Source organism: Homo sapiens, chromosome 4 (assembly GCF_000001405.40).
Source record: "Homo sapiens chromosome 4, GRCh38.p14 Primary Assembly".
In the NCBI taxonomy this organism is placed as follows: domain Eukaryota; kingdom Metazoa; phylum Chordata; class Mammalia; order Primates; family Hominidae; genus Homo; species Homo sapiens.
This window is the reverse complement of record NC_000004.12, coordinates 73689541-73699906: the sequence shown is the minus strand read 5'-3', so window position 1 is coordinate 73699906 and position 10366 is coordinate 73689541. Positions and strand designations below refer to the sequence as shown.

Here is a 10366-nt window from a genome sequence, read left to right as displayed (position 1 = left end):
AGGCTGGGGGAAACAGATAATCTGAAGGAGAAGGAGAAGCAGGGGGAGGAGAGGAAAGAACAAGAAGACAAAGAAGGGGAAGAGGAGGGAAAAAAGAAAAGGAGGAAAGGATGGAGAGAAGAAAAAGAAGAAAGAAAAGAAGGAGAGGGAGGAGGAAAAGTGGAGAAAAGAGAAGGAGAAAACTATCGCCATATAATATTTATGCATACCTTTCCCTTTTTAAGGTTCTAAACAGGATGTTTCATAATATTCCAGTTTGAAACCTTTGGAGTATTTTTCAAAACATCTAAGATTTCCTAAGGAAAAAGAATCAGTCCCAGAATTGACTTTACCTGTCTAGGGAGCGTGCCACTAGAACAATGAACAAGTATGCCCCCCACCAAAAAAAATAAATAAATAAATCTATGTTTACTACGGAAGCTCACGAAGTAAGTTTTGGACAGTTTTTTGTTTTGTTTTGTTTTTGAGATGAAGTTTTGCTCTGTCACCTAGTGACAGAGCTCAGTAATATTAGCTCAGTGCAATCTCTGCCTCCCGGTCTCAAGCGATTCTCCTGCCTCAGCCTCCCAAGTAGCCAGGATTACAGGTGCCCGCTACCATGCCTGGATAATTTTTGTATTTTTAGTAGAGACAATTTCCCCATGTTGGCCAGGCTGGTCTTGAACTCCTGACCTCAAGTGATCCACCTGCCTTAGCCTCCCACACTATTGGGATTACAGGTGTGAGCTACCATGCCCGGCCTTGGACAGTTTTAAAATAATTACTTGATCTTGCTTCCAAGCATTGATCATTCAGAAATACTGAGGTCTACTTTAAAAAGAAAGTCGATTTATTCTGCTTTCAAATTTTTATTTTAACAAACAGGAAGCTAAAACATTGGACTGCTATTATAATGAATGTGTGAACTATACTGGCTTATACTTAGGAATAGAAAACCAAACACCGTATGTTCTCACTTATAAGTGGAAGCTAAGCTATGGGTTTGCAAAGGCATAGATAGTGATGTAATGGACTTTGGAGACTCAGAGCAGGGAGGGTTAGAGGGAGGTAAGGGGTGAAATAACTACATCTTGAGTACCATGTACACTACTTGGGCGATGAGTGCACTAAAATCTCAGACTTTACCACTATGCAATTCATCCATGTAATCAAAAGCTACTTGTACCCTAAAAGCTATTGAAATCTAAAAAAAAAATAAAATATATAGCCAATATCTAAAAAATATAGTACAGAGTTGGAGAAACTCAAGAGCCTATCTCTGAGTCTGTTCACAAGGTCAAAAAGAGTTTTTCCGTTTGTTATAAGTCTTATATTGTCAGCCCCATGAATTAGGAGGTTTATTTTCCCCTGAACCACATTTGTCTTCACTGAAAGCACCATTAAATGGAGATTCTGGCTCAACTCAGTGAAGCAGAAATGTGCTTCCTCCTTTGGAGCTTGATCTCCTGAGCAGCTGTTATTGTAGGTGATCTTATGACACAGCTCAGAACCTCAGTTATTTTAGTAGGCCAGTAGGGCATTAGAGAAGTAGGTCATTCTGGCTGCAGTCCTGCCAGAACAGGCCTTTGGAATTTGCTATTGTTTTCTTCCAGGAATAAGCAATAGGGTACATTGTTAGTCCTGCTACGTGCAACTGGATGCCACAGTAAGTTTTAGTGGCAAAGCTCTAATTAGATATTACCCTACTCAGGTGAATAACAGCATTAAGAATGAGAATTTCAGAATGTGCTGCATTTGTTACTCTCCTGCAGCACATGACTAACTGAATAGCAGGTAGGTCAGGGCCAAAGCTCAGATCAGCATGGAGATGGTCTTTCCAAGCTTGGGGAGCATACTTTATGGAGTCATTGTTTTACGTTTTGTGCTCCCTGCCCACTTTGTACTCTCTTGCCCTAGGGGAGCTCCAAATTAATTGGGTCTAAAGCAGAATATATCTAAATAAAGCATTTTATTTTTTGTAAAAGCCTAAAGTAATTGAGGTTATCATAGCAATTCTGGAGTGGAGAGGATAAAGAGAAGAGTATCTTTGAGCAGAAAGAGACCTGAGAAGGAAAGAGAAGGTACATTATCCAGGACTAAGAAATACATAAGCCTGGATGCGGTGGCTCAAGCCTGTAATCCCAGCACTTTGGGAGGCCAACGCAGGTGGATCACGAAGTCAGGAGTTCAAGACCAGCCTGACTAACATGGTGAAACACCATCTCTACTAAAAATACAAAAAAAATTAGTGGTGGCTCACGCCTATAATCCCAGCTACTCAGGAGGCTGAAGCAGGAGACTCGCTTGAACCCAGGAGGCGGAGGTTGCAGTGAGCTGAGATCGCACCATTGCACTCCAGCTTGGGCGACAGAGCGAGACTCCATTTCAGAAAAGAAGGAAAAAAGAAAAAAAGAAAAGAAGTACATAAACATATGACTTTCTACTCAGAATGAGGACCATGGACCTCTCCTGTCAGGTCCCTAGAGAGGTGACAGGATTCTGGGAAAATGGTTGTATTTTATACATAGGAAAGTTAGACCCAAGATTGGAGTTTTCAACTTGGCAAAAATTTCTGAACTCCAACTGTGGTCTCCTGATCTGTGTTCCATGCTTTGGCTTTCGGTGCTCCAAACATGCAGCTCTGCAATTCAATGGACACTGTGGGTTTGGAAAATGTGTCTTTTAGGAATAGCAAGACAACGGGGACATTCTCCAAATGTTTTTTGTGATTTTGTTTGTTTGTTTGTTTGTTTTGTACACGTTTCCTGGGACCTTAGAAGTGTCTAGGAAGTAAGGTGATAGAAACCAAGGAGCCCATTAAAGACTGAAATGAAATATCCCATAGTTCTGGTGGAATGGGGAGTAAGGGTCAAATTTAATATCACTTGAATGTGTAAAAGGAATGTGAATTTTCCCATATACTTAAGATTTTAATGTAAAATTCATATTCGTCACACAAACCTTGAAGATACTAAAAAGGCCTTGACTCAGAAGCAACAAGTGTTTGAGAGGCAGTAGATAAAAGATGGACTTTTTATTAAAGGCAGGTTGGGAACCCAGAATTGTAAACTTATGGTATTGATTTTGCTATGGGTCTTGATCTTAAATATGACAGGTATACAACAGAGCTAATGACCACTTCTTATCTCGTAAAAGCATCATCTGTTATTCCATGTGCTTTTGTGACTCAATAACACAAGATAAGGCAAATTGTCTGCATAAAAGTGTGTCATGAAAGGGTTGCACTCCAGATACATATGTGTAAATGAAGCTCTGTGTACAATTCAAAGATTTATAAGCCTTAACAAATGACTCGTTTATGTAAAATAATGTTGATTTAATTAAAATTTTATCACCAAACAAAGTATGTGAATAGTTCTCAGTAATATGTATAAATAATATTTGACCTGCAGGATTCTGAGAGTACAAAACTGTCCTTCAAAACACAAAGCATTAAACAGGGTGCATACATATCACAAAGTTAGTAGAAACTGGAAATTTGCCGTTTTTCTAGTATTTTAAAAATTGGACAAAATTCACTTGGAGTGGATTCCTGAAAACAACCATATGGAATCCTGAAACAACGAATGCAAAAAATCCAAAATTCCCCTGCAACTGTTACCGTAAAAAAAAGGAAAAAAAACTGTTGGACCATTGATGATAGCAAGAAACACCTAGAATTTCATCTTCAAAATCTCCATGTTGAGTCATTTATTTAATAAGGTAAAAGTGTTTACAATCCATTATTCCTCTACCTTTTCACTGTCCTTTATCTCCTCATGTTCTTGCTTTGCTCCTAACCAGCTTAGCCTCCATGGTCCTTCAGTTTAATCTTTCCCTTGCCCCTTTTCCTTTGATTAAGTTTTCTGCCAAAGTCCTAATTCCAAGTAAATTCAGCTGCACCTTGGCCTCCTGAATATGAGTGGAGAAAAACATAAAACCATAAAAACTGGTGTCTCTAAATTCGTGACCACTAATCTCAAGGAGCTCTTTGGAAAACCCTTCTACTCTCTATTACTCCAACACTGCTTTTGTACTGTCTCACACAGCCTAGAGACCTTGCTTCCTATTTCACTTAACAAAACAAGCAATCAGAAAAGAAATTTCGTCCACCCACCACCACCACTCTACCAACATGCCAGTATCTGAACCAACTTCTATACCTTCTGTTACAGTGAATCAACTACTATGCCCCTTTTTAAGGCCAACCCCTTCAACTCTATGGGATTTCTTTCACTTTCAGCTATTCAAGGTTATCACTGCAGCAGCTGACCTTCTCTCTTCTGTTTCATTAACTTTCCTCTCTTTAGAGCTATGCTGTCCAATTCACTAGCCACTAACTCATGTGATTATTTAAATTCAAATGGCCTACAATTAAATAAAATTTAAAATTCAGTTTCTCAGTTACACTAGCCACATTTCAAGTGCTCAGTAACCACATGTGACCAGCGGCTACTCTATAGGATAGCATGGACATGAATGATAGAACATTTCTATCTCACAGAGAGTTCTGTTGGATAGCGCTCTTCTGGAAGATTATTCCCATCTATCCACAAAGTTCTATAATCTCACATCTTAAAAAATCATAAATAAAAACCAAAAACTCTCTGGGCCTCTTCCTTCTCTACTACCACTTGCAGCACAATTCTTCAAAAAAGGGTCTACACTTACTGTCTTAGTTTTTGTTTCTCTTTTGAACTTACTTCATTAAGGCTTTCATCCTCGCTATCCCATAAAAACAATTATTGTCAAAGTCACCAAAGATGTGTTACTAATGACAATTGTCAATATCAGTCCTCATCATGACCAATCAGAAATGCTGGACACAGCTGATCTACAAGCATATATCTTCACTGGATTTCCAGAAAACCATTCTCTCTTGATTCCCTTTATACGTTTCTGCTACTCTTGCTCAGTCTCCACAAATAAATCCACTTCATTAACTTCAGGCCTTCTCCTCTTCTCTTTTCTCCTGCATTCACTCCCTTAACAATCTCATGTCATCTCATAGTTTTAAATACCATCTTACACTGATAAATCCAAAATTTATATTTCCAGCTCAGACCTCTTTCCAAACTCCATACTTCTTTATCCAATTACCTCTTCACAATCACTATTGGAATGCCTAATCGCCATCTCAAATATGGCAAATTCAACTCCTGTTTTCTCTCCTGCACACAGCCCTTCTACTGCTTAAGTCTTCCATTTCAATAAATCCTAGTCCCCTCCTCAAGTTGCTCAAGCCTCAACCTTGGTTTCAGTCATGACTCTTCCCTTTGTCCCATGACCACACACAATACACCAGCAACTTCTATCTGCTCCTATTTAACATATCTAAATTTCAATCACTTATTAGTTCCTCTCCTGCTACCACTAAGGCCCAGGCCACCAGCATCTCCCACTTGCAGTATTGCTATAGTCTACTAATTGGTCAAATTGGTCTACTTACATTTTCCTTTACAGCCCTACACACTATTTTCAAATATAAACGCATTCATTTTTGAACCAATGAAAGAAATAGAAGCTCCCGTAAAAATGCAATGCTTATCATGTTACTACTTAGCTCAACATTAAATTTAAGTGGCTTCCCATCTAACTAAGATAAGAGTCAGAAGTTTATACAGTGGCTTTCAAGACACCATTTCAAGACTCCACTTCCAGTACTCCCCACACACCTCTCTGCCTCATCCTCTGCCACAACCACACTTTGTGTTGGGCTATCTGCTGCAGACTTCTTGAGCTGGCCTCCTTGTAGTTGCTTGGCACATGTCAACACACTTCTTCAGAGTCTTCCTCTGCTTTAGACCATCTTTTTTGCTTCTTTATGTTCTCTGTGCAAATGTTCCCTCTTGAGAGAGGCCTTCTGATCACACCATAAAAGGCAACAACCCTCCTAGCTCTTGCTATTTCATTTATATCCCCATGGAATTTGAATTACCAATGTGCTCACTCTGCCAACATTTTTTTTCAAATGAAGTAGTAAAAGCATCCTGATTAAATAACATTTTTCAAAGAAACAGCAAATAAAGCTGTCAAAGTCACCAGAGATGTGTTCAACACATCTCTGGTGACTTTGACAAAAACGTCATACTAATTTTCTTCATTTCCTTTCTTTTGTCACCTACAAATCAGCCAGGTCTAATATTAATTATCCCAATTTTTTTTTAATTCTATTGTCCACACTCAGATTTCTAGGCTTTCTTTTCTGTATACTTCTTATGTTGAGTGGCTCTACATGCTTCTCTCAAATGTAGACTTATTATAAAAAAGCTCAAGCATCTGTCTGCTTTGTTATGTGTTCCAGAATGTTTATATAATAAAATACATATTATTTAAATATAAATTGCTTTCCCTTTATTTCTACCTTATAGATAGATTATTATATTCAATTTCACTAAATTTTGTGTGCACAGAGATAATATTGCTTCTGCAGTATAATCTGGATAGTAAATAATAATATAATTATTATAATATAATATAATTCTGGATAGTAAAGAATAATACAGAATTTTTATTATGCTAAGGAGGAGTTTGAATTGTATGGTTATAGACAACTAATCTAACCCAACTCCTTCATCTATCTGATGAGGAAATAGAAACTCCAAAGATAATAGCACTGGCAACAGAGGCAGGGCTGGTACAGGGGAGGGATGGAGTGCCTTTCATACATTTCTCTTTTTCTACAACAGATTGCCTCAATCTGTTCTGATGCTAATGGAATTAATAGAAATACTTGTTAAATTATCCTTCTTGCCCAAGAATTTTTCTTTGAAAGGAAAAGTTTAATTCTAAATGGCTTCCCTGAAATCAGTTTAATTCTTCATCTCTTTACAGAAGACTATAATTTAAGAGACTTCACTTTTTATAAAAATTAAAGTGTATCAGCTCACAAATAGAACTTTTCAAAGAGCCATTGCACACAGTCATATTGTTGCATTGTTTGTTTTAGTGTTTGATTTCTATTGATTGTTTAGTGAAGTCACCCCACAGACACTCTTGTATTTCTTTGTCAAATATACTCAAAATATTTACCTGGTAGGAATGTTTCCGGTTCCCATAGAATAACTCAATACTGTAGACATGAAACCAACTATTGCAAAGAGAGATCTGCAAAATACAAGCTTTTCAAATTTTAACAGGTAAATATGACAGTGTCCAAACAGACGTTATAAACTCAGCCTCAGAACATGGATTAAGAGGTATTTTATTGTTGAGTCCCTGTAACATGTGTAGCTTTGACATAGTTTGAAACAAGAATGTATCTAAGATGATCTTAAAGGTATTTTTGAGTTTCACATCATATGAATCTACAATTTTATTTGCTTATTATTAATATGAAGTAGATTGTGTTTTGTGCCTGTGTTCAGATATCTGAGTGTTTCCCTGCAGATATTATCAGCAATATCTGTGCTGCTTTTACAGCATGAATCACAGTGTCTCTATTAAACTTACTTGGATATGTGCCTGGCCTCAGTGCAATACTCGTATGTTCATTAGGCAAATATTTTTAAGCACCTTTTATGTACTAGGTGCTGGGAGTATAGACATAAATATGGTGGATTTTGACACTGCCTTCATGGAACTGTCTGCTTTTGAAGAAGAAAAAGCCATGCCTTTCATCTGTGTTCCTCCATATGATGGCATAAAGTGGTTTTGCACAACTTGTGCTTGTAGAATCGAACAAAAGAAAATAGCAAATACGGTTAAGAAGAAAACAACACACGTGCTGTTGGCAGCTGGATCCACTAGGCCTAGCATAGTCCCAGAGTGTGAGATCTGGGGTCTTTTCTGTCTTCTCTTTTTCAATTTCTTGTAATTAAAAAATGATAATAATATCCAGAAAGGTAGTGAGAGATTCTACCTCCCTCTCTGGAAGACATAAAAAAGGCAGGGAAATGTTCCAATTTTAAGCCATTAAACACTCTGGCTTGAATCAAATCAAAAACATTATCTAAACTGTCATACACTAAATACCCTTGACTCTACTAGGGCTATTTATCACTGAAAAGCACTGGATTAGTGGTGTGTTTCTTTGCTTCCTAAGGATTATTGATGATAAGAGCATACAAGACAGCCAGTGTAGAATGCCAGAAAGAGACACATTGCAAGTCATCTCTTTCTTTTTTTTTAATTATATTTTTAATTACAGAAGTGATATGCAAATACATTCTCTTTTTTTTTCTTTTCTTTTTTTTTTATTATACTTTAAGTTCTAGGGTACATGTGCACAACATGCAGGTTTGTTACATATGTATACATGTGCCATGTTGGTGTGCTGCACCCATTAACTCGTCATTTATATTAGGTATATCTCCTAATGCTATCCCTCCCCCCTCCCCCCACCCCACGACAGGCCCCAGTGTGTGATGCTCCCCTTGCTGTGTCCTAGTGTTCTCATTGTTCAATTCCCACCTATGAGTGAGAACATGCGGTGTTTGGTTTTTTTGTCCTTGCGATAGTTTGCTGAGAATGATGGTTTCCAGCTTCATCCATGTCCCTACAAAGGACATGAACTTATCCTTTTTTATGGCTGCATAATATTCCATGGCATATATGTGCCACATTTTCTTAATCCAGTCTATCATTGTTGGACATTTGGGTTGGTTCCAAGTCTTTACTATTGTGAATAGTGCTGCAATAAACATACGTGTGCATGTGTCTTTATAGCAGCATGATTTATAATATTTTGGGTATATACCCAGTAATGGGATGGCTGGGTCAAATGGTATTTCTAGTTCTAGATCCTTGAGGAATCGCCACACTGACTTCCAAAATGGTTGGACTAGTTTACAGTCCCACCAACAGTGTAAAAGTGTTCCTATTTCTCCACATCCTCTCAGCACTTGTTGTTTCCTGGCAAGTCACCTCTTTCTCCTCCAGAATATTATCCTTTACCCTCCTTCAATTTCATTTAAGTGTTGACATCAGCTTTCCTCTTCGGCTCCTGCTGGGGATCACTCCCAGTTGATGAGCTAATATGCCTGTCTATCCCTTTCTCTCTACCAGCCGTGTTAATTGGCTGTAAGGGGAGTTCAGAGTTAGGAATACCCCTATACCTCCCTTGCCCCTCACTATGGAGAGTGCTTTGTGCCCTGGCATCCCACCTCTGACATCTTTCCATGGCCCTTCCATTCCATACTCACATAAGTCAGTCTCCAAATCTTATCAATAACTTTCTTCAAATAAAATATTATGTGAGATTCTTACCACCTAGGCAGTGGTAATTATAATTGTTCTCAGTGTTTGAAAAACTTATGCTTCTAGAGGTATGTGAATATTCATATTGATTAAACTAGGTAGGATGAGTGTGTATACAGATCTAGTACTTCTTCTTTCCATATGACCACTCAGAACTGTTGACCCTGCTGCCTACACTCCTATTCCTGTACATCTTTCTTCATTTGCCTTCCCTGACATTACACAGTTCTGATTACACTATTTCCTCTGTGGCTACAATTGCCTCAGTTTATTTTGCAGAGTCTTCTTTCTCTTTCATTTTATTTTAATTGCTGTTCCTCAGGCTTCTGTCTCTGTCTTTTTCTTTATTCATTCATTCAAATTCCTTTACACAAGTAACCAATTATTTACTAATAACTCTTAGACTGCTCCTGAATTAAGAAACTGTGTTTCTACTGTCTCCTGGACATATTTATTTACATGGCTTATGATTCACCTCCCTCAAGTAAATCCAAAGCCAATGCATCATCTCCCTCTTGGCTCCAGATCTCCCCTTCTCTTGTTGTGAATGAAACCACCAGCTACTTCATAATTCAAGCAGGAACACTGGGCTCTCTTCTGGACTTGTCCCTGTCTCACCACCCAAATCCTATCAATAACCCTCCAAACCCTATTTGTGTCCACTGACATTTTACCTGTCTACATACTCATCATCCCTTGCCTGGATTACTAGAAAATCTCATTTTCTGCCTCAAGTCTTGGTACACTCCAGGCCATTCTCTACACTGCAGGCAGAGATGATCTTCCTAAAACACATATCAGATCATGTTATTTCTCATCTCCAAATTTTGGGACGGCTTTCCCATTGCTCTTAGGATAAAGGCTAAAGTTAGGTTGGGTGTTATAAGGCCCTCCATTAATAGGCTCCTACCAAGTTCTGCCTAGACTTCTGCTACACTTACACTCTAACATTCTATCATTTCTGCAGTTCTTAAAAGTTATGTTCTTCAAAGTGATACATTTTCTAGAATTCTGTGCTTCAGTAAGCTTATCCCGTTTCTGGGAACACTCTCCCTTCACCCACACAGGAAGGCTTTCCACACATTTTTACAATATTTATATGAGTTCTTGGATTAAAGTAGTTTAATTTTTTCTTCTTCTTTTTGCTATTTTATTTTAAATGTTTAAATGCAATGAACATGTATCACTT

The 10366-nt window shown here is 38.0% G+C and overlaps 1 annotated feature.

Moving 5' to 3' along the window:
• Window positions 2415-2611: a silencer, noted in NCBI's record as "fragment chr4:74563013-74563209 (GRCh37/hg19 assembly coordinates)". NCBI's record gives its function as "represses an EF-1alpha promoter that drives an FKBP-Casp9 reporter gene in an ReSE screen in K562 erythroleukemia cells {active_cell/tissue: K562}" and the evidence as "EXISTENCE:reporter gene assay evidence [ECO:0000049][PMID:32094911]".